Here is a 27490-nt window from a genome sequence, read left to right on the forward strand (position 1 = left end):
CTATGCAGGTTTTTTGTTTGGTTTGGTTTGTTGTTGTTGTTGTTTGTTTGTTTGTTTTGAGACAGGGTCTTGCAGTGCAGTGGTGCGATCTCAGCTCACTGCAACCTCCGCTTCCTGGGTTCAAGCGATTCTCCTGCCTCAGCCTCCAGAGTACCTTGGATTACAGACACCCACCACCACACCCAGCTAATTTTTGTAGTTTTTGTAGAAATGAGGTTTTACCATGTTGGCCAGGCTGGTCTCGAACTCCTGACCTCAAGTGATCCGCCCTCCTCGGCCTCCCAAAGCGCTGGGATTACAGGCGTTAGCCACTGCACCTGGCCTCTGTAGGTTTGTTTTATGAGCCTGTTTGCCTCCCTTCAACTGAAATCCCGGGCACACTTCAGAACTCACTTGAGCCACAAAACCACCCTAATTATCCCTGCCCTCTCTGGTGTCCTTCTGCTGAACATCTTCAAGACCAGTTTGCCACTTAATCCCAATGCCAAATATAAATACGAATCTATCTTGCATTTTTTTTTCATTTTGTCTCAATGGACATTCATCTCTTCTCCCTAGCGAGGAATGTGTTCCTTAAGGTCAGGAATTATGTCCTATGTTTCCCGCAGACTTCCCCACAGCACCTAGCAGTGTGTTGGGTATATAGAAAGAATGGAATAAACTGTTGCTGAGTAACTGATTGAAAACGTATTTTCAAAATATTGCAGTGCTTATATTTGCTCTCTTTTTTATAATGGGAAATTCATGAGAGAAGTTGGCTTTAGCAAACTGATTTTGAAATATTTTATTTAAACTGACAGCCAGGCGCGGTAGTACATGCCTGTGATCCCAGCTACTTGGGAGGCCGAAGCAGGAGGACTGCTTGAGCCCAGGAGGTCAAAGCTACAGTGAAACATGATTGCACCACTGCCCTCCAGCCTGGGCAACAGACCAATGCCCCTCTTTAGAAAAAAATAAAAATAAAAATAAACTGGCAAACACTAGTATCACAGAAGTTGGAGCTGGAAGAGAGATATTTGCACAGATCATCTTATATGGAAGTAATTGGTAGTACATGGATAGTTGATTGATCTAGAACAAGTAGGGACAAAAAGATTCCTTAGAAGTACAAATCAGTTCTATGTTCTTAAGAGTTCAAAGACTACACTCCACCTTGTTCTGTATCGTCTTGTTTACAGGATTAAGTTGACCTCTCCTCTGCCCCCCAGTCTTTATTTGGACCAGGTTCCACTGCAGCCCAACCCTTCTGAGTCATCACACTTTCTAAATAATTGCCCTGCAGTCTGAACTAATGTGGAAGCCTCGGGCTGTGAGTAGCAGGGTAACTGCAGGCTGCAAAACCACATTCTGTCATTTATTCATGGAGTGATGTTCAGAGCCCTTTAACTCTCTCTCTCTCTCTCTCTCTCTCTCTCTCTCTCTCTCTCTCTCTCGTGTGTGTGTGTGTGTGTGTGTGTGTGTGTGTGTGTGTGTGTTGGGCCTTGTGAGCACCTGAGGGTCTATACCACCCTGTAGATGGGGTTATAGGAGAACAGGGTGAAGGCAGAGGGCTTCAAAGATAGACCAAAAAAAAAAAAAAAAAGTGGATTCAATTCCTGACTCTGCTACTTCCTAATGTGTGACCCAGAGTCAGGCCCTTTACTTTCATGACTCTTGGATTTTTTTTTTTTTTTTTTTTTGCATTTAAAGGGTTCTTGTAGAGATTGAAAATATGTATAAGCACTTGGCCCAGTGCCTGATACAGGAAAACACCAATAAATGGTTGTAATGGGCAGGATTTCTCTTGGGTGTTCCCCAGGGTATACTCATAGCCTCACCCTCCATCCAGGCCACCCTAAGCCCAAACCCCAGCCTGCTCATTACTGAAGACCCCAGCTGAAACCACATTCCTGTGCAGTGAGGCTCTCCCTGATAAAAACAAAGAACTGGATCAACACTGGAAAGGAGAACGCTCAGAGGAAAGTGAGCAACCATGCCCTGTAAGGCACGATTGAATGTGAAGAGCCCGGTACAGTGCCTGGCACGAAGAGGCACTTGATACATATTTTTGAATGAATTAATGAACTAATGCTCTCTGAATTATCTATTTGTGGGTTTTTCTAGACTCCCATCTCCACATCAGGAGATGTCCTATACTTAGCTGGTGTCAGAGGATTTCCAATAGAAAAATTTTTTCAGTGTATTTAAAGATGTCACCACTGGTGTCAAATGAAGCTATGGCCGGCCATCCATATGAAGGGACAAGGGCTGGATCGGGAGCCCTGAACGAAGGAGCATCTGCTGGCTTGTCCTGAGATACCTGTGCTTTTCTGTTTTAATTAAAATCAATAATTATTTTTATCTAACCACAATAGTAATATATCTTCACACTAGACAAAATAGAAGATAAAGATAGGCTAAAACAAGAAAATGTTAATAATATTTTAATATTCATTGTTCCAGACTTTTTTAATACATGGATACATTTTAATCAAAATGGAATCATACCCCCAAAAGTATCATTTTTTGCTTAGTAATTTATTTTGATCATCTTTCCAAAGTACTACATATTCTGCTCCACAGAATTCATTTCTTTGATCTAGAAAAGAGTGTCATTTTTTAAATTAGTTTTTTAACACACACATATAACAAAAGTAAGACATAAACAAAAAATCCAGACAATATCAAAGGTATAAATAAAATGCAAAGCAAAAGCGCCTCCCACTGTCATGCCCAGTCACGGTCCCAAGAGGTAACACTTGGAGCCCAATTTTTAATAGCTGCTGGTGATGATTTCCTGTCTGTCACCTGCTTAAAACCTGCCAGCAGCCTCACCTCGAGAGTAAATTCCAGCCCTGACCAGGGGCTTCACTTCTGAGCCTCCACTTCCCCACAGGTAAAATGAGATGCTGCGTCCCAGCATCGCCAAGGTGTGGTTCCAGCCCCAGCGGGCCACAGTTCTGCCATCCACATGCCTATCTCAAAAGAGATTGCATGCTAATCCCTCCAGGGGCACTAAGAGCCTGGTCCCCGTGGCGGCTGGAGAGGGCTGTGCAGTCACTGGGTCTCCCTCTCCTCTGCCTGAGGGCTTTGCAATTGACAAAAGACCCTTTCTCTGGCTCCTGCTAATGACTCTTGCATTTACCTTCATGTGCTACAGGGCCAAAATGCATGAAGACAACTGCCATGGGTGAGAAAGCCACTGAGCTGGCTGCAGCAGACCTGGACTCCAACCCTCCTTCTGCTAATAACTAGTTGTATGGCTTAAAACCTCCAAGTTTCCATTTCCTCATCTATAAAATGAAGTGAGTGAACTGGAGCTTCAAAATTCCTTCCAACACTGGTGCTCCACTCCAGAGAAGTAAAACCATGGCATCTGGGTGACCGCCGCCATGTGACGCAGCAGCCTCAGAACTGAGCCAGCCAAGTGAAGGGACATCCTCTCCACGGGCCCCGGCAGGCTGAAGTGCTGAGCTTGGCTCTACCTAGAAGATGTCTCTCAGTCTTCTTTATTGTCCAGAACTCCATGAAGTTGTCAATGTTACTCTGATCTTACTCAAGGAGAAAAATGAAGCCCAGAAATCTGAAGTAACATGTTCAACTTCAAATGGTCCAGTGGCAGAGCCAGGGTTGAAAGCCCAGTCTATCTGACTGTCAACATTTCTTTCATGCTCTGAGTGGAGTTCATTGAATGTTTGATATGCAAGTCAGTCAACTATATTTTCTACAGAATATCAAACCCTTTATTAAATTAACCAGACATGACTTAACGAATTACCATGTTCACAAAAATAATACAAAATCAGTATTCTGATCCTCAGCTGTTAACAATCACTGCTTAAGTGAACCCTCCTTCTTTCTACAGCTGTGGTTTTCAAACTTGAGAGTTTATCAGAACCTCCCAGAAGGCTTGTTGAACTACACGTGGTTGGGTCCACCCCTAGAGTTTCTGATTCAGGTGGTCTGGGTAGGGTGGGACCCCAAAATGCACATCTCTCACGAGATCCCAACAGATGCTGGTGTTGTAGCCTAGGGCCTCGCTTGGAGAACTACTGTTCAAGCACTCTTGTCTCTTTGGCTCACCCAGCTTGTAGAAACTCAAGGAAAGCTCTAAGACCTCAAGCTATCTCCTCAAGAAGTTAAAATTCTTACAGCTTTTCAGTTGTCCCGGCCACAACTGTCATCGTTCACTGTGAGGACTTTGCTCCTCTGTTTAGGGTCTGTTGTACCTACTTCTCCTCTCTCTGGCACTCAGTGCAAGGGAGAGCTTGGCTTTCTGCCCCATTCGTTGGCTTTCTGCTCCACACCAGCTGGCAAAGGCTGAAAGGGAAGGCCTCTAAGTAAGAATCCCAGCAGGGTGAATTCTCTGTGCTGGTCCCTTAAATCAGAGGGCAAGACTGGTCCCCTTTCAAAGCACAAGATCTTCCCTTCCCACCACACATTGGGTGTCTAATAAATACTTGTATCTACACACAATTGATTTCTTCACCAACTTTTTTTAAAGCTTTGAATTCTTAAAGATGAAATGCTCTTTTTTTGTCCCAAAATACAGTTTTTCAGAACTTCCTTTCAAAACACAGAGACACACCCCAAAAGAATGTAACTGGGATTTAAAATTGTGGTTTCTGCCCAGAAGTCCAAGTGCAAGCTATGGCTGTGTTTCTCTGTTTGGCCTCATTTCTTGCTTGGAGTTATTAGGTATAATCAAGATTGCTGCTTACTGGATAAAGGCCAAAGTTAGGAAGTTCCGTGCTTGAGCTCCAATCCTTTCAGGATTGCTAAGTGGTAAGAACTGCCTGAAAATCAGTGAGTGTTACAGCTCTTTCAGAACTCTTCTAGCAGTTTTTCCAGCTTTTACCAGAATCTCTCCCCTATCCCACAAACAATAAAGAAATCAGACTGGGAAAGCACAGTGTCCTTACTAAGATTGCTCTGGGCAGCCAAAAATTGCTCTGGAGCCGAGGGAGGGAAGTGCTTTGCAAGAAACCTATAAAGGAGAAAAATGGGTATTTGGTGACCTCCATGTTGCCTTTCTGACCTCTTCCTCCAATGCCCACGCTAGGGTCATTCTGGCAGGACAGTGCAGTGAAAAAGGCCTGGAAAGCTGGGAGACCGCGATCCAGTCTCAGCTCTACTGCTGACCAGTGAGTGTCCCTAGACCTCTTACTTCAGCTCCAGGGACAGTATTTGGTTGTGTACATATAGAAGATACTGGCCAGGATGACCTCAGAAATTCGCTTCAGCACTGTCTATTAGTGAGAACTGGAAGTGGTTTTCACTAAATATGCTGATAACTATGCTTTTTGATGTGACAATACCTTGGCATTTGTGAACTCTTAATAACCAGGGAGGAAATGTTGTTTATCCAAGCCCTGAAGAGCCCACCTGCCAGGGTGGGACTCGAGTGGAATCAAGCGGGGCCCTGCCCAGAGTATGGCTGCCCCCCAATATCCCCACTCCCACCTCCCCACCCCCCACCCCTGCCATCCCACCAGGCCTGCTCCAACCACCACACTTCCTGCCCCCTTGGCTCCCTTCTGCAGGGAAGGTGAAGCTAGATGACGCACTTGCCCGGGCATGAAACAAAGGGATTCCTTTCCCTTTTCTTCCCCTTTCTAGAGTCACGGCCTCACCAACACCCTCTCTCCCTGACTGTCTCTCACTATAAAGTCAGTCACTGAATTGTACACCTAAAACAAAGTGAATTCTATGGCATGTAAATTATTCTTCAATAAAGCTGTTAAAAATGTTAAAAGAATGTCTTAATATAAAGATTTCATTTGATTCTTCTCTGGTTAAGCTCTGAATCGAAACTAAAGGCATTTTGGTCAGGACACCTTCCAAATGATCACACACATGCATGTATGTGCACATCCACACACACACGCACACAGAGGACTATAGCCATCGCCCCTAATTAAAAATAAACCACAAAGGGCAAAATCTGAGAGGCACCAAGATAATCATAACCAACCTGAAATCATCAACCTCAGGCACCAGAGTCAGGAACCATGCTGCTTCAGTCACTGGAAAATGATGTTTCTTTGCTTTCAGGAAGACGAGACCCTCCCAGATAGCCAAAAAGGCATAGAGTGCCTAATCTTCAAGGTGCCTTTTGCAGCATTTACTTTCTAATTGAGCATCAAAAGAGCAAAGCAGAGGACACAATGAAGCAATCACTGGCTCCCCTTCCCAGGCCTGGCCAGTCTCCAGTCTTGGTGGCCCCAGGTCAACAATGCTACAGTGGATTTTGAAGTATTTCTATCACAGCCATTGCACTTGAAAACTTCCATAGTTCAGCTATTTAATTCTCCCTACACTGAGATGGGGTAGAATAGACTTCAAGTTGGCATTCTTTTTTTCCTGAACTTCCAAAACCTCCATGTGACCATTTTTAAAATGCAGGTGTGTTGTACCTGCAAGACCTTAAGAAATGTCCCAGAAATTTATTTCTGTCCTGCTGCTCTATTTTGTTTGGTCAAATCAAGTGCTGCCTCTGGCAGATTCTCTAATGATTGATTAGAGGGGGCGGTGTCAGTAGCCGGGTTTTCTAGTGATACTAGCTTGAAAGAGCAATTTCTGAAGAGCTCTTTGCCTCATTCACAGCGCTCAGCTAAGCCAGAGGTTCAGCAGATGACTCAAGCTGAAGGGTAGGGGGTGAGGGACCCGAACCAGGGAAAGATCAGATGCAGTGGGTTCATTCATTTTGATAAATCTTTTCTTTTTAATCATCTGTAGTAAGACCATAGTACATTGCACCATGTGTATGATATATTTTGGAAAGGTAACGAAGTCTGGGAAGTAGGCAGTGTAACTCAGCTCCCAGCTATTAAATCTTTGCTTAGAAGTAGGGTAACGTCAGGGGTTTGTGTGTGTCTGTGTGCGTATGTGTGTAAAAATTACAAGGCTAATACATTAGCAGGGGCAAAAATTAGCCAGGTTCTACTACTATATTGAGATTTAGAACATCAGAGTACAGTGACTAGATTTTTCTGTAGAGATCTTTACAGCTATTTGAAATTATGAACCCATAATATGCAAATGCACGGGGCTAAGAAATGCAAATTCTTGGCAGAGACTGAAGATGTTATAATGTGTGCTGTAAACGGCGACGCGTATGTGTATAAAATCAGCGCGCACATACTAACTGGTCGATTATCCCCTCTAAAACCACATATAAATTCTCCTGACAGGAATTGGAATTTTGCACACATCCCAAGAATGAACTGACTCTTAATGTGCTGTGTGTGTGTGAAGGATGGAGTATTAAAAAGCATCAGGAAGGGTCACTAAGCTAGGGAAGAGTGCCTGCTGATTCTCCAGCATGACAACAAAGGGTCTGGGGGCTATATTTTCCTCCTGCTCATGGTCATTATAATATTAGTGATAGTCAATAATATTTACTGAGTTCTGGCCTCTGTGACAGTCACTGTGCTGGGTGCTTTTCATCCATGATCTCGTTTAAGGAGAGAGAGAGAGAGAATGTGTGTGTGTGTGTGTGTGTGTGTGTGTGTGTGTGTGTGTGTGTGTGTGTCAGAGGGGTTGGGGGTGATGTGTATGAATGTGGATGTGTGCATGTATGTTCTATTCAAATGTGTGTGTGTGTGTGTGTGTGTGTGTCAGAGGGGTTGGGGGTGATGTGTATGAATGTGGATGTGTGCATGTGTGTTCTATTCAAATGTGTGTGTGTGTGTGTGTGTGTGTGTGTGTGTCAGAGGGGTTGGGGGTGATGTGTATGAAGGTGGATCTGTGTACTTGTGTTCTATGCGAATGCTTTACCACCCTGACAAATGGCTACTTTCCCAGGGAATGTAACCATTTACACTGGTAAAAATGTTAGTCTGCCCATGAAGCAGGCGGGAAGGAGAGCTCAGTCACCAGGTACCCAGGGACTGGGGGCAGAGTCCCCATACAAAAATGTGTCCTTTTGTGGTGAAACTACTTCCCACCTGGAGCCAAAGTCTGGGCCAGTCTTAGCCATTTCTGAATGAAGAACAGGACATTAGGGAAGTGCAATCCAGAATCTGAGAAGAAGTAAAAAATTCTCAAACTAGAAAGCTGCTGAGTCAGGTCTATACAGATGCAGGGTCTTAAAAATTGTAAGGAAAGAAAAGAAAAAAGCTTTTAGTTAAACAATGGCTTATAATGACTTCTGCAAATAGGTGACTCTCAGGGAGGTGGTGGAATCTGGTGCATCAGAATCTGTCACAAGAAATTCCAGCAAAGCAACGGGGGTAGAACACAGGATGATTTAGCTTTCTGTAATGTAAGCAGAAATATTACTTTATCAAATAATTCACTTTTACAACCTTTCTCTCCATCCCTACCCCCCTCTCAAAGCAGTTTAGAAAAACACCCAAGGATTCCAGGTATAGACAGAGGCAAGGACACAACTACTTTCCAATGGCAGGCAAGGACAATAACTAGGATGTTGCCCTCTGCTTTGTCATTGTACCACCCAGCTGATGAGCAAGATTTCTGAGTTCTTGGAAATTATCCAGATTAGGAGATGATTTGCAAAATGGGCACAAGCACATGTAACATCAGAGCTACATGAGAAATCAGAAGCATTTTCCCTGCCTTCAGGAAGCTTTCAATAAATACTCTGCAAAAGCCAAGACAAGAAGCCTGACATGAACAAAACCTCATCAGGTGAGCTCTGAGTCCACCACCTACTCATACTTCATCAAGGCACAGGTTCCCAAGGGCTAAAGACAGTCAGAGACATAGGAGGGCTTTTTTTGTTTAAGTGGTTTATATTTAGTTGTAAGCTAGTACTAGGACAGAGAAACCTTGAGATTACAAAGATGGATAATAAATCCACCGAAGGAAGCATATGCAAACGTGAGCCTTTGAATGAGGTCCTTGAATCTCCTTGCCACATTTCACAGCCTAATCGTTACACAAGATCTGTTAGCCTTCAACTCCTTCACTCTGTTCCTGTCCACTCATCACCCCAACAACACATATTACTTGGCCCACATCACACAGAGTGAATATAATACAAGAAGAATTCTTATGCTGAACCACGAGCCACAATGGTGGTTGTCAGCAAGTCACATGGCTCTCATAGAAGTTGAAATATACAAGTATCCATCTATAGAATTATAAAGCATAGGTGGACGCCTACCTCTGGGATGTCTTATCACCTGAATTTAGTGATCTGATATTTCTTGGTGCTGTTTGTTACATTTTTACAACAGTGCTTTACGTGGCTCCAAAAGCAATTTCCTAAAATGCCCTAAGAAGAGATATTGGTCAATGAATAAAAATCATTCCAGTTTGGCACTGGACTAAAATAAACGGTTTTAGTACTTGGTATCAAGTGGATAATCTCTTCCTAAATTCTTATTGTTTAAGGCTAAAATGGAAATTATGCCATTTCCCAAAGCATATTGAGCTAAACTAGGCAGAAAGCCAGATGTGAACTGCACAGGGCGGGAACCAGCCTGGGAGTTAAGATTTGCTGCAATTACTTCCCCATGCCTGACCCCCTTAACCAAATGTATTTCCTCCTGCTTCCTACACACACCTACAGATTTCTTCACTGAGCTTGGCCCCCATCATGTTGGTCCCGCTACCATTCCTTTGTACAGGCGGTTCCCCACCTGAATACCCTCTAGGAACTTCAGGGCCAATTTAGGTGCAATAGAGAGAATTTGGGCTCTGGAATCAGAGCTCTTCCACTTCCAGATAGCCGTATCACCTCAAGTAAGTTAACCTAAACATTCCAAGCCTCAGTTCATCATCTGCTCATTTGGAATAATAACATTAAATTGAAAGTTGCTGTGAGAATGAGCGGCTATGTCACACATACAAAGTGCCTGTTGTGGTTGCTCAGCAATGTCATTTCTCATCCTCCTACCAGCTCCCTTCGCCAAGTTCATCACAGGTCTCACAACTTGCCAACTCTAAGCACACAGATTCTAGGACTCTCTTCTTTAAAATCTTACAAGCTACACTATGTCATTTAGCTCTTCAGCATAAGCTTATATATGTCTTGCATATATTTTCACAAACAAATTTTTGCATCTTTGAAGGCAAGACCACGTCTTGGGCTTCTCCTGATCCCCTGCAGAACCTCACCCGGGACCAAAGACTCCATCAGAATCCTAATGCACCTTGTATTCCCTGTGGGATCACAGCTTCCCTACCTGCACACACACAAAAGCAGCAAAGCTTCTGCGTGACCAGGTATTTCCAGGGCCAATCCACAACTATTCAGCAACTTCAGCTTGTCACCTTCAAGCCTGCTGATGGAGGTCTACACTCTGACCCTGCAGTCTGTTTCCAAAAGCATCCTGAGCCCCTGAAAGGGCCGGCTGCCGGGATTAGGGACAGCATTCATTGGAAGCAGATCTCCCTCAACTCAGAAGGGGAACATCAAGCTGTGTACACACAGGGACAAGTCCTGGGATCTGCAGGTCAGGCAGGCAAAGCCTTCTTCCACACAGCAAGGATGACAGCCCCCTCTGTCCACAGGGCTGCTCGGCCACTGCTGCCTGTTTGCTGCGAAGGGATTGGCCTGAGAGAAAGAGTTTTGCTTACCAGACTCTGAAGCCAGAGGAATTTCAAGGGCCCTCAAGGTGAGCTGCCCTTTGGAGGACCCTGCATATGGGCAGTGACCTTGAGGTAGCCAAGTGAGACCAAGGACATGGTGCCACAAGCTGGGGTCAGGAAAGCCTAAGCTCCCACAGAGTTGATCAGCCCAGAGCCCCCTCCCTGATACCCTGCACCTCACCCCAAGTCAAAGGGCCCAATACGACCTCTGTGGCTTCTCTTTGCCTTGATCAAGGCTATGCCCGATGCTGCCTTAACCTCCTTTCCCCAGCATGAAGCTGCATCTGTTCTCTTCTCCCATCAAAGTCACTGGCTTATCTCAGACCCCACCGCTTCCCCACCCCCACAACGTGAGCACCATCCCTCATGCCCTTTTCTTTGTTCCCCCACCCCCACCTTTGCCTGGCCTAGCATCCAGCACATAGTGGGAGCTCAGGAAACACTGATTTCATAAATCAGTGTTGAGTACATGATTCGTTTTCTAAGAAGTTCAACCAAAAATTATTTATTCTACCTTAATCCTTAAACAATTAAGCAATTTTATCCTTTGAAGTGTCTTGTGAACAATAACTTGGCAAAATTATTCTTAGATTGCTATAAATCTTCCTGTATTCAGAAAAATCAAGGATCCCTTTCATACAAAAATCACTGGGTATTGTATCAGCAAAAGACTGGAAACAACTGAAATATCCATGTAGGCGGGCTGGTTAGATAAGTCAAGGTATAATTGTCAGACAGTCAGATATCTCCAAGACGTTAAGTGCAAAGTGAGATTCAATGCGTGAGATAAGCTCCCATTTGAGTAAAGAATTTTTTAAAAATACCATGCGCATGGATGCACACATACACACATATGTTTTGTATTGCACAAAATGTCTTTAAACTGAAGAAACCATTAATAGTGGCTGCCTCAGGGTAAGGAAACTAACAGCAGTGAGAGAAAGATGTTTCACTTTAAAACCCCTTTTGTACCTTTTGAATTTTAAACCATGGAGGTGTTGACCTATTCGGAAAAATTAAATTAAAAATTCAAAGCAAACAATGTTTGGAAAAGTAATAAAAAATCTGCTTTAGGAAAACATAAAAGAGAAATCCTCATTTAAAAACAGTTCAAGGCAGCCTGTTGCGTCACCTGTTAGCTGCAGGAGAAAAATTGAGGAGGCACCGTGGCTGCAGAAGGACTGGCCGGTGGGGTGGCGGGTGGCAGCTGGCTCTGGCCCTGGGCTCCTCAACTGCCTTCTGGAGGGACCTGAGAGCAGGACAGCCTTCCTGGGCCTCGTCTGAAGCAGTTCTTAGAGCAGGCAAGCCCCTTTCCTGTCTGGGAGTTGGGGTCGTCAGGTAGACACAAGCCAGTTACTTAGTGACAATCTCATTTTAAAAAGAGGAGACACTCCATAAAAGGAAAGAAAGCTTCCTTCCCTCCAGAAGTTGCTGGTGGGGAGATTAAAACCCCAAATCCCCACTCACCAGAGTGCAATGACAACAGTGCCGCTGACTTCAGGAGCTTAAAATACATTTGGGGACACACCCTTTCCCCCAAACACACCTGCTGCTTTTTCCTCCCTCTTCCCACATCCTCTCTTGACAGGCCAAGTGCCCATTTATGACAGAGCTGAAAAATGTCCTTTTTTGTTCTAATATTTCCTGTGCGGCCCCTCCCCTCTTTTATGGCTGCCATTCAAAGCCATCTGGGATGACCCACCAACCAGAGGAAGCTTCAGAATTGAAACAATCAAAACATGTCACCTTTCAAAAGTAACAATTAATGCCCCTGCCCCATCTCCAAAACGCACTGTTTTAAAAACTCATGGTGATGGCTGAACACTGTCAGTTCTCAGAGACCTACTGTATAAATGGTCCAGACAGAACTTTGTAAGGACATCCTTTCAAACACAGGGCCAGTGGTCCTCTCTGTTCCCCACACTTTCTCTCCAAGCTCTACCGCCACCCTCCTCGAACTTGGGAAGGGACTAAATTTGCTTTCTGTGTCTTTCTTTCAGGAGTTAAAGAACACCAGAGCTGAAATGGCTCTTAAAGATAGCCTCATGCTACAAATGGGGAAACAGGCCCATAAAAGAGGAATGGTTCCCTGGGGAATAAACTATATGCCTATCAGTGGGCCAGGACAAAAGTCCTGTCTCAGGCCCCTCTGCTGCTTCCCTAGTTTGCTTGCTTTTGATGTGTCCCCACCTAGAGGCCCTGCTGCTTCCCCTTCCAATGCAGAGTCCCCCTGTAGCCACAGCCTCCCCTAGGGTGGCCCCCGCAACCTGTGTCCTGGGTTCACTGCATTGTCTGGTAGGCAGCCACTAGTCCTGTGGGGCTACTGAGCACTTGAAGTATGACCAGTGTTACATATTGAAATGATAATATCTTGGATATACTGGGTTAAATAAAATATATGATTGAAGTTAATTTTACCTACTTCTTTTTACTTTTTAAAAAGGTGGCTGCTAGGAAACTTAAAGTTACATGGATGACTCTTGCTATATTTCTATTAGGCTGCACTGCTCCAGGTCATATGCTACTTATCCAGTCAGCTCCCAGTCAGCAGAACTGACCTGGCCCGTGCCCCATCTTTGTGTGGCCAGACATTATCCACTACAAAGACCAAACCATGCCCAGGTGCTAATTGAGTAAGGAGTGTGCCCCCAGCAGTGACATCTGGATTCAGCTCCTGAAGCCACTGCATGATTTTAACAAGTGCATCTCTCCTTCCGTTCAAGGTAGGGAAGGAGGGAGGGATCCTAGCACCCCTCAAGTGGTGCTAATTCTACCTGCATGTGAGCTCATGACACCCAAGAGTCTGAATTCCTGTAGGCTGGGATTTTATTCCCTGAGATAGGGTAGTCGCTTGGGGAGGAGAAGCAAGACAACAAAGCCTTAACTGTTTTTCATTTTTTGGCATCGATCCTGTCTTTTCTCATCTCTCCCTTCATGTTAGGAATAGAAATTTACAAAACATAAATAACAGTGGCTCCCCTGTATGGCTCCCCTCACTCTTTGTCGAGAGCTATTTTAAGTGCCTGTATGTATTATCTTATCTCATTTTCTCAGCCACCCTATCAAATTGGTATTATCACCACTGCATAGGTGAGGAAACTGATACTCAGAGAGCTTATGTGATGTGCCCAAAGTGATGCAGGAAAGCCACCAAGTTACAGGACTCAGGTCTCATCAACCCCAAAACCTATGCTCCTCATCATTCCTTAACTTCTAGAGCCTCAGTTTCCCCATCTGCAGTATGGGGATGGTATCTGCCTGGAGGCAGGGAGGGGCCTCAGAATCCCCAAGGACACTTCCTCCCCTGGGACTAGGTTCTGGGCCCTGAGGAGGTTACAGTTTGAAGAGTCCCCATCTCTTGCCATTCCCTGGCTTAGGCAGCACCCCCGGTCCCAGTCTTGACTCTGTGAGGCTCCACCCATGCCACCCTCCCGCCTGGGTCCCTCCTGTTTCTGTCTCCAGGGAGTTAAGTGCTCCTAGCCCCCTAAATCAAGATTTCACCTAGGCCTCACCTCCTCCAAAAACCCATCAAAATTCTTAAGTCAGAGAATCATTTCACAGTCAACCGTCCCATCCTGCCAATTCATGCCCTTCTTCCCAGGATGCAATGATGCTCTCACCCTTCAAGCCACCAAGGCCCCAGAACACACACTTCAAAAGAAGCCTTGACCTCCATGAACTTAACAAGGGTCTCATCTCCCATAGGAAGAATTCTATATTTTATTCACTGGGCAAAATAGTTTCTGAGTCCTACTGTGTGCCGGACACTCCTCTAAGCCCTGGGAACAGAGCAATGCAGGAAACAAAGTCCTGGGCTCCTGCAGGAGTGAAGACGTCCCCCAAACAGTGATGCCCTAAACACATGAATCCAGTGATGTGGGTTCATATTTCTTGAGTTCCTCCTGCTCTCTTATTTTTAGGTAAAAAAAAAAAAAAAGGTTACTTAATGGGGACTGATTCTTTCCTTGTCATGGTTAAATAAGGTATGGTATATTACTTTAAGGAATACTACACATCCATTACAAGTGTGTTTCTAAGGAACACGATGACTTAGTAATGTGATCAAATGCTCAGTAAGGGGATAACTTGCAACATCATATACACACACTGATGGAGACAGGTGAGCATGAGAGGCATGTTTCTAAGCACATTCACAATGTGTTGGAAGGGGGGAAGGACAACTGTTTTCCTTACGCAAAGTACAGAAGCAAAGCCTGCTAAAATCTTTGGTGAAGAGACTTGACATTTTCTTCTAAGTGTCAGTGATTCACAGTGGCAACATGAGTATCAGGCTCTCAAGAGAAAGGAACCTTTCTGTTTAGTAAAAGATGGCATGGATTTTAACAGTTTTGGAAAACAATGTTTTTCCCAATTATATTTTATGTGTGTGTTTATGTGTATATGTGCGCATGTTGCTGGTTCCAGAAAAAAAAGACTGGAAGGAAATATACCAAAATGTGGGTGTTGTAGGATGTTTTTGATTTTATTCTTTTCCATATTTTCCCAATTTTCTATTATGAGTCTTATTGCTTTAATAATCAGAAAATAAGCAGTAAACTGAATGCTAATAGTTTTTTAATTTCCTTATGAATCTGTTTTTACAGGCACCAGTTCAGTGGGGTTTGGAAATCAGTAGGGTGTGAACCACCAATGAATTCCCTGCTCCTGCAGGGCTGAGTGTGCCCCTGGCCCCAAAGAGAAACCCTCCCTGCATCCATGCTGGCAGACAGCTGTCCACAGCTGTTCTGAGGAGGCTGCCAATGAATGAAGCGGGTGGAAAAACACAACATTCCTGACTCTCCAAGGATGGCAGTATGCTTGGAGCTCTTGCCCACCAAAGAAGTAAATAAACAGAGACAGAGGTGGTAGCCAGTCAAGCTAGAGGAACTCCAGTCCTGGAGGTGAGTCAGCTGCCAGAGCTCCCAGACTCCCAACAGAACATCTGAAAGAAGACTCCATCTACCTAAGCCAACCACCCTTGTCAAATCAGGGCTAACATCTCTCAACAATGGCCCTCCTGGGCTATACCTCTTGAATGTCACCTTCCCTCCCTGCCTACATGAGAGTATGTATGAACAAGCTTCATTTCTGCCTCTAGGCTGAAGAGATCAAGAAGGCAGGGCCTTGGGCTGACTCAACTTCACATACCCCAACAGCACTAACTGGCTTATTCACAGCAGAACAGTGCCTAGCACACAGCAGTGTCTGAGTACATAGTCGGTAAATGAATATGCCCAGGTATAGCCCAGGAGGAGACAATAGATTGCAAAACAGACAAGGTGCCTGTTCTCAGGGAGCTTACACTCTAGTGGGGAAAGACAGACAATAAACAAAAGGAGAATCAAGATTATATCCAATAAAAGACTGCACATTGGGTACAGTGTACGCTGCTCAGGTGATGGGTGCACCAAAATCTCAGTAAGCACCACTAAAGAACTTACTCATGTAACCAAATACCACCTGTTCCCCAAAAACCTATGAAATAAAAAAATTAAAATAAAAAGGGCCCCTGAAGCATCCAAAAGAGAGATAATAAACAGGCCTATTTGGTATGTTAAATTATACGGGAAGCATTGCCAAACAAAAAATAATGTGAAGCCTCTAAAAAAGAAAAGAAAAAAAAAGATTGGCGAGGCATGGTAGCTGACGCCTATAATCCCACCATTTTGGGAGGGTGAGGCAGGCGGATCGCCTGAGGTCAGGAATTCGAGACCAGCCTGGCCAACATGGTAAAACCCCGTCTCTACTAAAAATACAAAAATTAACCAGCCATGGCGGGGCCGCCTATAATCCCAGCTATTCAGGAAGCTGAGGCAGGAGAATTGCTTGAACCCAGGAGGCGGTAGTTGCAGTGAGCCGAGATCGTGCCGCTGCACATCAGCCTGGGTGACAAGAGTGAGAGACTCCATCTCAAAAAAAAAAGAATATAGTCCAGGTGATGTGTCAGTGAGAAGCCAGTTATGGGAAGATCTGAAGGAAGAACTTTCCAGACAAAGAGAACAGGCAAGCCAGAAACACATGAGCTCAATGTGTTTAAGAAACAAAAAGGAGGTGGAAGGGTGGGCACAGGGAGTGAAGGGGAGGTCAGAGACGCAGACAGGGACCAGATCCCGCATGCCCACGGTTGGTTACACAAGGGAGTGGCCTGGTCTGCCTTACTAAAGAAAACTCACTCTGCCTGCTCTGTGACACTGGATTGTGCCATAACAGCCTATAGAGGACGACTTCATCATTACCTGTTGTACTGATGAATGATGCTCCCAACATCCACTGGGGTTAGCGGTATGGAGGGGCCAATCAACTTGGCCCCAGGGTTCTCACAATGCCTGTGGGAACCCCATCTCTTTTTATCTACTTCTATGACTTTGCCTTCCCAACATCCCCTTCACAGTGCCATGGAGTACGGCAAATAAGATGCATATCCAACTGCTGTCCTCCCATCCACCCATGCCCAGCCCGCAGCATTCATTCAGCAAATGTTTTTCATGTCCAGCCCTTGCTGATGCTGAGGACGTGAAGATGAGCAACATGCCAGCCCTGCCCTCAAAAGCTCCAGCATGTGAGGGCTGTGAAAAGCTGGCCAGGTGCCACCCACAGCCACAGCTGTCCAGCCCTGACCTCTCCATCCACAGCCTCCTACTGAAGTCTCCCCCTGGTAAAACCTGCTGTGAGCCCCTGAGACAGTTCTGATGGGCGGATCAATTCACACCAAAGGGTTAAACAGAAAGACAAGCTCAGTGCCTTGCCAGCTTCCTCCACCCCACCCCACCCCCATTCCTCCCTCCACCAACCCAGGGAAAAAATCTGTTCGGCCTCAGGGATGAAGTTGTAACTGATGGCATGGCAGGTACTATTTACTCCAGACAAAGGAGGGAGGACTTTGGTGTTGGTTTGAGGAGTGGGTGGGTTAGGGGCCATCGGGGACCTATTTGGGGCAGAGTCAGGGGAGGAGGCAAAGAGCTTTGAATGCATGCCTTCAAACCTCCTCGACCAGCCCCACACAGAAATGACTCAGCTTGGAGTCAGAGGGAACCACATCTAATTTGCCACTTTCAAAATCTCCTGCATAAGAATCATTGTTGTCATTATTTAGAAAAGCCAACTACCCTCACGTTAATGAGTTCTTGAGTTCTGTCCTGTGAGATTTCTGGGGTGTACCTCACTTTGTGCAAATGGGAGAGTAGTATCTGACAAAAAGTACACACGGTGGCTCTAGAAAATCCTTGTAACCCATCGTTTCTCAGCCTTTTGGATAAGATAAAAGTGTGGAAAATCCTTGTGTCCTAAATTCCCCTAGGGCAGCTGGCACTCCAAGAAGCCCTGCAGGATGCTGCACACAGGCTGGGGTTCACTCCGGTACCCTCCCTGCAGGATGCTGCACACAGGCCGGGGTTCACTCCGGTACCCTCCCTGCAGGATGCTGCACACAGGCCGGGGTTCACTCCTGTACCCTCCCTGCAGGATGCTGCACACAGGCTGGGGTTCACTCCGGTACCCTCCCTGCAGGATGCTGCACACAGGCCGGGGTTCACTCCTGTACCCTCCCTGTAGGATGCTGCACACAGGCCGGGGTTCACTCCGGTACCCTCCCTGTAGGATGCCGCACACAGGCTGGGGTTCACTCCAGTACCCTCTGTGTGGTTCATTGATAGGTTTTCTTCCAGTGGGACACAGTCATCCTGGGGAGAAGTCACTGCTATAGATGGTTCCAGACCCTTGAGTCTCTTCTTCCCAGGAGGGGAGGATGGGTTATAAATAGCCTGGACTCCTTCAGCCCTACACAGGCACAGATCCCACACCCCCGCCCCAGCCTCAGCCAGCTGGTCCTTCCGCGCCCAAGTTCCCACAGCCTGCTATGAGAGGGAGGACAACTGCCCACCCTCGGTGGGGGCAGGGAACAAAAATGCCCTGGTGACAGCCTCCAGTGAACTGTAACTACAACCCCACCACTCCTTCATACCCCCTTCACACCGCCCCTGCTGGAGAGGGGTGAGAGGCCGGTAATATTACTAGGGGGTCTCTTATACCCTGGTCAGCCCAGGAAGCCCAAGTTGCGTGCTGAGAATGTTAATTCAGTGGGAAAAGTTATAGGAATAATACTCTCCCCGTCTCTCTGCCTCAGTTTCTCCCTCTGTAATATGAACAAATAGCTGAACTATCTATCTTGTGGGAATGCTGATGAGATTAGCATGCAAAAAAAGTGAAAGGCATCGTAACACTGTATTATTATCAGAATATCAGACATTGACTTCTTCTGTAGGACCCCTAAACACAGGAGATGTGGAGTAAGGGGGCACTGATTTCTATCTGTTCATGAAAGCAGAAGAATTATACCCGGCAACTCTGCACTAGCCTTGAATTCTTGATACTCTGTGTCCTTGAAAGCAATCAAACTTACAAAATATTCTCTCTTGCAAGTCATTTCTGACTAATACAGATTGACACACATTGCATCCAGCTTATTTTCATAAAATTCTGCTGGACTGTATATGACATTATAGACTGAAATCTAGCATCGCCCTAGAGTATTATGGTTTTGGAGGAAAAAGTTCACATAACAATCACTCTGGTTATCATTCAATTCCTTCCTGCTCATACACACTGGTACAAAATAAGTGGCTAAAATCAAAGTGGCCAACTCGTAGTTCTTTTTTAATTTAGACACTTTGTTTGCTCAATAAAATACAGAGTAAAAAACATTTACTGAAAACCCACTCATTGATGTTTAATGGCTGTGTCAAATACTCATAACAACATTTATTCCAACACCCCCAGATAATTGCTCATCTTTCTCATTTGGTATCCACAACAGCACAGCATTTGTGTCCAAGTGTAATTGATCCAAAATTGGGCTCCCTTTCAAAAATATCTGTAAAATCTAATTACCAGGAAAACAGAGTTCTGGCATCCTATGGAAAGTGGGTGCTTCAGTGAAAAAAAGCTGCAAATTCTTCTTGGCTAATCAAGCTGCATTGTGTTACAAAAGGAGTTTGAGGAATTTGGGATAATGAGGGAGCAGGAAAAGTTGGGATAGTGTCAGACTGGACTTTGCAGTGACAGTCCTGGTTTTTTTAAGCCAAGGGCACGGGACGGGAAATATACCACATTCGCTGGCAAGCATGGATTTAGAAAGTACCAGATAAAGAGGCCATGATGGGCTTGGGGTGTGGGGGTGGCATTTCTGATCTCAAGCCCTACCAGGCCTTGCCCAGGGAAGTCTCTCCACCCTTGCCTGGAAGGCTGATGTCATTTCTAGTCTCACTGGGCCTCTAGCCACTGTAGCAGGTCACTTTCCTTCCTTGGGCCTGAGTTTGCTCATCTGTAAAATGAGTGCTCCTAATATCTCTAGGGTCTCTTTCAACTTCAAAATCCTATGACCTTCTATAAAGCAAAGGGCATGCTTTTTGCTCATGTACTTGTGGGGGCAGGGAGCGGGAGCCACCGGACCAAGGAGAATGAAGGACTGAGAGTTTCCACCTCTCACGCAGTTTTGTACCTAGTTTCAACACCCGGGTATCTGGCCCGCTCTGGGAATAATGATTTCTTTCAGCCCAGGACGACCTACCGAGGTGTTTCTACCTCGCTGCCCTGGATTCCTCAACCCCGCCAATGAAGAACAGGGCCAAGCCACCGGACTTCTCGGAGCCTCTCTCCCAGGTCTGGGCACAGTATATCTTCTTTTAAGGGGTCTTCCCTTCCCACTCCCACTCCTCTTTCTGTCCTAGAAGCACCAGAAACTCCGGCTCTAGCCTTGCGCATGGTCCAGCGAGACTTCCCATACAGGCAGCGCACGCCACCCACCCCCAGCTCCCCTCGGCCTTGCGCCCGCGCCGCGGAAGGTTGGGTACCAGCCTCCACAGCTTTGCAGATTGCAAAGATAACGGGAGCTGCCGCTTCGCTTTTCTTTGGCTCCTCCTGGCCTTCATCCTAGTAAAACCAGACAAGCAACCGGAAAAACAAAGCAGCACAGCGGCCAGAGACAATTCGCTTTCAACGGAGCAAGAGACGTACACACCTTGAGAGAAGACGCACGCAGTTCCCGTGCGTGTCGCTGGGAACAGACCTCGCACTACCCCGCGCGGCGACAGGCACCGGGCCAGGCTCGGCTTCACTTGTCCGAGGCTTGGAGGAACTGTGTGCGTGCGCCCATTTCCCCCAGCTTCCCGACTTGACAGCAGCAAGGATCTTTGAGTCCTGCATGAGCGACACCTCGGGCAAGGACTGTACTCTGCTCAGATCTCATCGAGAGGTGCTGGATCCCAGCCTTTCCAGCTCATTTTCCAATTTTCAAGAAAAGACAGCGCGAAGTGAGACTGCAAAAGTCCCAGGAAAACGTCACTCACCAAAACGCTCCCGCGCCTTCCAGGCAGAAGTGCGGTAAAACTTTTGGCAGAAACCACCTGTGGCTGCCGACGGGCCCGCCCCGCTCGGGCCCGCAGGCGCCGCCGAGCCCCGGGCCGCACGCGCCCGCAGAAGTTCCTTTCCAGCCCCGCGCGCCACTTCGCTCCGGGCCGCGGTGCCAGCCAGGAGGCGCGGCGCCCGCTCGCTGGCTCGCTCTCCGCTGGCTCTCCCCTCCCTCCTTCCCTCCCTCCCTCCTCCCGCCTCCTCCGTTGCATGGCTGCCGCACGGAGCCCCTGAATAGCCACCGCAGCCCCCCGCCTCCTGCCCACCGCGCGGAGGGCGCCCCTGCTCCAGCCGGCGCCCCAAGGCGCGCGGACCGCCGGCCTCCTAGCAACGGCCCCCGCAATCGCTTTCCGGCGCAGCCCAAGCAAAGCCACCCGCCCGCCGCCCCGCGACCTCCCGAACTGCCTCGGCTGCCGAGGTGCTGTGGAGATCGCGACCCCGGCAGCCGGCGCCCGAGCCCGGCGCGCGAAGCCGCTCACCTCCGCGCGCCGCCGGCCCTGCGCGCCTCCCGCACTTGGCTCCGGGACGCAGTCCTGGCGTCCTCCTTCGCCGCCGGTGTCCGCCGGTCCCTGCGCGCCCGAGCCTCGCCGGCCGCGCCGCTGTCAGAGTCTCGTGGCGGGGCTGCGCCGGCGGGTATGGAGCTGAGCGGCGGCAGCGGGCGAGCGGGCAGCTCCTCCCTCCCCGCGCCGCGCCTCCGCCCTCCCCGCGCCCCGCCTCCCGCGCCGCGGCTGTCAGCCCCGCGCCCCGCGCCCCGCGCCCGCGCCGCCGGCTCGGGGGGCGCACAGGGCTAAAGGGCCCGGATGTGTGCGGTCGCCTGTCGCTCGCGCCCGCCCCCTCCCCGCCGCGCGGCACATGCACTTGCTGCGCCGCAGCCCCCGCCCGGCTCCGCTAATTTCTATTTTGACAGTAACTGTGGCGAGTGGGCGGCGCGGCGGGGGGCGCCCGGGACTGGCGGAGGCTGCGGGCGGGAGTCAGGACCCGACGCGGAGGCGGAGTGGGGGGGCCGGGCACCGCCACCAACCGCTCGGGGCTCCGCGTCTTTTCTCTTTCTTTCCTTTTTTCTCTCTGCCTCCTCCAGGATTTAAAGGGACAGCCCCGGCAGAGGCGAGGGGGCCAGGCGGCCGCCGTTTCTCCGGTCTCCTGACGCCCTCTGCGGCCCGGCCGGACCCGCCCGCACCCCCAGCGCAGGCTTGGGACCGCCGGGTATTTTTAGGTCCACACCCGACCCGGGGCAGCGGTGCGGCAGAGATGGGCTCTGCCGACCCGGGGCAGCGGTGCGGCAGAGATGGGCTCTGCCGCCCCGGCGCACGGCTATTTTTACAGAGTCCGATGGGGGAGGAAATAAAACAACTCGGCAACTGCTTTTCTACCCGAAAGTCGGGAGCAAGGAGTGGGGGCGAGAAGTTAAGTTTCCCAAATGCTCTCGGCACTCCAGCGAGCGCACCAAGACGCCTAGCCAGCACCTGAAACCGCAAGCTTGCCGCACCCCGGGGCGCCGAATCTCAGCGGGCAATCGCGCTCGGCGGCGCTGCGGCCCGGAGTCCCCACCCCTCTGGAGCCTTGGGCCCCGCACTCCGCACCCCACACGCCGGGGAGCAGCCGCTGGCCGCCCGTCACTCCCCGGGTCGGCCTGGAAGGCGGCCTTCCGAAGCGTCCAATCACCGCGCAACAATGCCAACGGGCGGGCCCGGGGAGGGCTTGTCCCCGCCCCGTCCCGCCGGGCCCCGCCCCCTCGGAGTCTGTCGGGGCAGGAGAATCTCGCTGGGACGCCGAGTGCTCAGCGGTGCTGGAAGCCACGAAGGGCCAGTGCGAGGGGAGGAGGAAGGGTCCTGGCCCTGGAGAGGGCGTGAGCGTTCTCGGGCGAGGCGACACTTGGGCAGATGTTCCCTCCAGCTACGGGCCGGGGAAACTCGAGCTGGCTTTGCCTCCTACCTTTTTGCAGTCCACCCCTCTGCGCTCCAGACAGACATAGGAACCCTCGCCCTCCTTGGTAGTACATCGGAGGCAGCACCCTCGCACGTCAGCGGGTCCTCTCCGGGGCTCCTCCCTCAGAAGCGGGAAAGTTTGTCGTCCTCAAACTCCTACCCGGCTGCGCTTATCTGAGGCGCACCTGGCGCCCAGGAGAGGCGAGATGGCGAATCCCGGCCGCCTAGTGCCCATTCTGGCTACGGATTAATAAAAGGGCAGTGGGGCTGCTGCTGTGTCCTTTAATGCTGAAGACACTGGATGACATTTTTTACAGAATTCACAAAAATAAGTTTGTGAACCTTTGGTGCCTCTTCCTAATATCACTTATTGGGATTTTTTTTTAAACCATTTCATTCATTCGTGTAATAAACGCACATTGCAAGATAGTACGTTGGGAGTAGTGAAAACAAGGGAAAACGGGCTCTGGAATAGGATGTAAGAGTGGAAAACTAGATATGAATAGAGGGATCTGAAACGTAGGGTTTGGGTACAATTATGTCACGTTTAATTTGCCAAAGAGATCTGGTTTTTCCTACTAAGTAAATTTCACCAAATGAACAGTTTGGACAGCCATCTTATCCAAACTATTCAAATGCACATGTAAATCTAGGATAGTCTATCGTGGAACCTAAGGTATGTTCAGGCTCAGGATGTCAGATTTCCAAGTTGCTAAAGCTTCCAGAATGGCAAAATAATATATCTCGCTTTCAGCAGCTGTGGCAGCCACTGCCCTCTCATATTAGGTTTGTCTCTCTGTTAAATTAAGTTGCCTGTCTTGCTTCCCTTCATTAAAGGGTTTTCAGTTACTTGGAATGCTGCTGACCCAGCTGATATGGCCCCGCTTCTAAGCCATAAGTCTGGCTGCGCCTCATGCCAAGCATGCGGATGCATTTAGAGAGCACCTAGAGGATCCCAGCCCTGCAAATGCCCAGACACCTGCAGGAAATAGAAATGTAGTTCTGGGGGTGAGGGCAGCTACAGCCATAAAAAGGGCATTTAGGTTGAGAAAAGAGGGATGTGGGCAGTAAATTAGACTCTAATAGTAAAGAGTCTAGTAAATAGTAAATAGACTCTAATATAAATGTGGCTCTAAATCAGAAAGTTTCTCCTCTCTTCTCTGGCTCAAAGTAGATGTTCTATAGCTTTAGCTCATGGAATAGCGTAAGCATGGAGATCCAGTGAGTGCTGTAAGATTTATTTGCAACGTACTAGTTTGGATGTAAGTGCAATGGTAAACGTTGCTTTGCAATAATTAATAGAATTTACTGCCAAACTTTAACAGTTATCAGCCATGTATCCTAGAAAAAAAGCATGTCATTCAACTCTCTAAAGCCTCCATTTCCAAATCTGTAAAAAGGGAGATAATAGTAGGTCCCTTTCTACTCCATAGAGATGCTGGAATGGTCGGGTGAGAAAAGGCGAGGGCAAGTGTTGCCCCATGAACAACATTCATTAAGGGGTTACTGTGTATTAAGCACTGTAGAGCACATTGTAAATTGTCAATATTAGTTATGGTGATAAACTCTAAATAAATTATCTGAGAATTGGGATCAAATTTTTACCTATTTCCCGAGGATGTTGAAAGACTGATTCAAGAAAAAAGAGGGGAATTAACATTTACAGAGCTCTTTCTAGATTAGAACTTACGGTTTCCATTGCTATATGTTTCTCATGACAACTGTATGCAATATATTTTGTTGTAACCGTTTTATAGATGAAAAATCTGATATCAATAGTGGTGGTAATGGCCATGTTGCCACCGCTGGGTAGTGTCAGGGGCAGCATTTGGATCCAGGTTCGTGAGTTCAGAAGTTCACGAGCATCCTCCCCTGCGATGCTGCCTCTAGAGGAGAAAGAGGGAAGAGGCTTTGAATAAATCAGAGCAGAAGAGAAATTCAAGGAAATCATGGTGTGTATTACCTACCATAAGGCAGACTGGGTGAAGTGCCTTCCTGGAAAAGGTAGCACTGGACTCAGTCCCTAAGTTTGCATGATATTTTTTATTTTTTCTTAGTTCGTTTTTTAATTTTTATTTTGAAATAATTTCAGATTTACAGAAAAGTTACAAAGATAATATAAAGAATTGTCATATATCTTCACCCAGAATCTCCATGTGCCAACATTTGCCCATGTTTGCTTTACCCTGCTGTTTCTTTGTATATACATATTCTTTTTTTCTAAACTGTTTGAGCATAGGCTGAAGATATGATGTTCCTTTACTGATAAATTCTTCAGTGAATGTTTTTTAACAATGAGGACGTTCTTATATAATAATCAAAATCCAGATCTAACCATAGATACAACACTATTATCTAGTCTGAACTATATTTAGATTTCACCAACTGTCTCACCAATAGCAAAAATGAAAAAATAAGTAAATTCTAGGCAGGATTCAATTCAGGATTGCATATTGCGTTTAGTTATCATATCTCTTGGGAGAGTATTTTTTATTTTACTAATTTTTCTTTCTCATTTTAGTGGCCATACATTTATAGCCCATATGGGATGACAAAGACTTTCTCCTTGACCACACTTGAGGCAGGCTCCTTTGAGGCTTCATTTCCACTGGGCTCCCACCCTTGGGCCCTCTCTTCAGCCAGCCAAGTCCAGTTGTAGAAAGAATCCTTCTAAGTTAGTTTAGTGAAAACCCCCCTGACCCTTGATCTCCGAGCACCCTGGCCTGCCTTTAGCAAGAATCCTGTTAGGTTAGTCCAGCAAGAATGCACCTACCCTTAATGTCTCCTCTTAGTAATTTTCCATCTATCGACCCCCTTACTCTGTACCTTGGCTATAAATCCCCACTTCCCCTTGTTGAGCCCAGTCTCTCCCCGCCATTGCAACACTCCTATTGCAATAGTCTTGAATAAAGTCTACCACTTCCCTACCATTTTTACAAGTGTCAAAGTAATATTTTCTTTAAAAGGGCCAAAGAAAATATAGAAAAATCAAAACTCACTTGTAATCACTCACCAGCTATAACCAACATTAATCATTAAAAAAAAAAAAAAAGTACATGTGTAATCCAACCATACAACCACCATTCCCTTCCAGGGGCCAGCTTCCCCTAGAAAATACCAAGAATATGGAAGTTCTACTTTCTGTTCCTCCTGAAGTTCTTCCTCAGTGTCCAGCATGATCCTGCTGTCCCTAGCTCAGCCATAACCCACCTCACCATTTTGCTCCTCACCCCAGACTCCAGTTACCATCTCCCTCAAGAAAATGCTGCATCCCCAAGAGCCCCCATGAAGAAGCTAGTGGAGATAGGCCATGCCTCTTCTATACACCTCTTTTTTCTTTGCCACACCAGGGCCTACAAAGGCTCTACTAGATAACAGATTTCACAAAGGGTTTGGAGTAGCTCAAGGGAATTAGAATGTAACACTGGACAACTTGAAGCTGTGCATGAGATATGACTTCCCTCATATTCCAGAGAAGAGCAACCAGGGGTTGAACTCTCCATACAGGATTACTTGATGGTACACCCCTGCTTCTAACCTGGCTCCCCAGCTTTCAGGAGACCTTCTTGCCTCACAGGCAATTCATCTACCTTTTGACATGACTCTCCACAGGAGAGAACCAACCCCAAATCTCAGGAAAGGACTTCTCTGGGATCCCGCTCCTTCCTCCTTCAAACATGCATTTCCTAAGCCTCAGTCATCTAGTCACCTAAAGAAACACTCTGGGGTAGTTGGCTGGTCACCAACACAAATGTTAATGGTGACCATTGGCATCCCCAGTGCAGCTGAACAGCTAAACCAGCCAGGGAAGGTTGGGTCTACAGGCAAGTCCAGCCCCCTTCAAGACTGCCCAGCTGTCTGAGTTATAGGTATGCCTATGTATTCTTCCAAATATTCAGCAAGTAATTGTTGAACCAAGTGTCTACACATGTACACTTCAACACACTCCTTCCAAAGACAATTCTCAGAGATGGAGAAAATTCACTCTAAATCTATGAGGATCACAATTTGCTAATTATCTCAACTTCTGCAAAATGCAGTCGTGTTAGTTCCTTGCCTTCATCTTCCTTCCCCTGAATTTATATTGTCTAATTGTCCCTCTCCCCTCCTCCCGTGAGAATAAGGAATGAGAATCACTGAGTTAGGGACCCAATGGGGTTGCTCTTGGTCAGCCAAGCACCTGGTCAGAGCTGTGCAAGGCTGAGGGTGTGATTAAACTTTCAGCAGAGAGGCCTGGCCACACTCAGAGGTTGTGTAGAAGGAACAGAGGGCTGCTTTTATTCAGGATGTACAGGGAACCAAGCAAATATTAGTTGCAGAGTACCCGCCTATATAAAAATTTGATTTTAAAATGTGTCACAAAATTCATGGCTCATATGAAGTATCATGATTTAACAGTGAAGACTTAGAATAATGAGTAGAAAATATGTATTTATGTCAATACCACCAGTTTGTAGTAAATTTTTTTTTTTTAATTGACAGAGTCTCACTCTGTCTCCCAGGCTGGAGTGCAATGGTGTGATCTTGGCTCACTGCAACCTCTACCTCCCGGGTTCAAGCGATTCTCCTGCCCCTGCCTCCCAAATAGTTGGGATTACAGGCATGTGCCACCATGCCCAGAT

General features: G+C 47.2%; 1 protein-coding gene and 1 long non-coding RNA gene across 14 annotated transcripts in view, besides 3 other annotated features; one reads left to right on the forward strand and one right to left on the reverse strand.

Annotated features, from left to right (window-relative positions):
- The window catches only part of LOC124904353 (uncharacterized), a 30633-nt gene extending 24905 nt beyond the window's left edge, over positions 1–5728 (forward strand). The window contains exon 3 of the long non-coding RNA XR_007066458.1: positions 3140–5728. This is a non-coding gene — a long non-coding RNA (uncharacterized LOC124904353). The remainder of the gene's footprint in view (positions 1–3139) is intronic.
- The window catches only part of ZBTB7C (zinc finger and BTB domain containing 7C), a 385914-nt gene extending 361132 nt beyond the window's left edge, over positions 1–24782 (reverse strand). For 8 of the 13 annotated variants that reach the window (XM_047437347.1, XM_047437346.1, NM_001371285.1 and 5 more), the window contains exon 1: positions 21423–21580. The gene's annotated coding sequence lies outside the window, so the exon portion shown is untranslated. Of the gene's footprint in view, positions 1–20554; positions 20957–21422; positions 21581–22875 lie in introns of those variants that run through there. The other 5 variants (XM_017025609.3, XM_011525865.4, XM_017025606.3 and 2 more) reach the window with 3 other exon arrangements.
- Positions 19861–20480: an enhancer, noted in NCBI's record as "H3K4me1 hESC enhancer chr18:45934035-45934654 (GRCh37/hg19 assembly coordinates)". NCBI's record gives its function as "activates a minimal SCP1, AML or CMV promoter by ChIP-STARR-seq in naive H9 embryonic stem cells {active_cell/tissue: H9 hESC(naive)}" and the evidence as "EXISTENCE:reporter gene assay evidence [ECO:0000049][PMID:30033119]".
- Positions 20481–21098: an enhancer, noted in NCBI's record as "H3K4me1 hESC enhancer chr18:45934655-45935272 (GRCh37/hg19 assembly coordinates)". NCBI's record gives its function as "activates a minimal SCP1, AML or CMV promoter by ChIP-STARR-seq in naive H9 embryonic stem cells {active_cell/tissue: H9 hESC(naive)}" and the evidence as "EXISTENCE:reporter gene assay evidence [ECO:0000049][PMID:30033119]".
- Positions 22369–22748: a silencer, noted in NCBI's record as "silent region_9432". NCBI's record gives its function as "represses an Ori minimal core promoter by ATAC-STARR-seq in GM12878 lymphoblastoid cells {active_cell/tissue: GM12878}" and the evidence as "EXISTENCE:reporter gene assay evidence [ECO:0000049][PMID:35858748]".
- Positions 24783–27490: the final 2708 nt, after the last annotated feature.

Source organism: Homo sapiens, chromosome 18 (assembly GCF_000001405.40).
Source record: "Homo sapiens chromosome 18, GRCh38.p14 Primary Assembly".
NCBI lineage: Eukaryota > Metazoa > Chordata > Mammalia > Primates > Hominidae > Homo > Homo sapiens.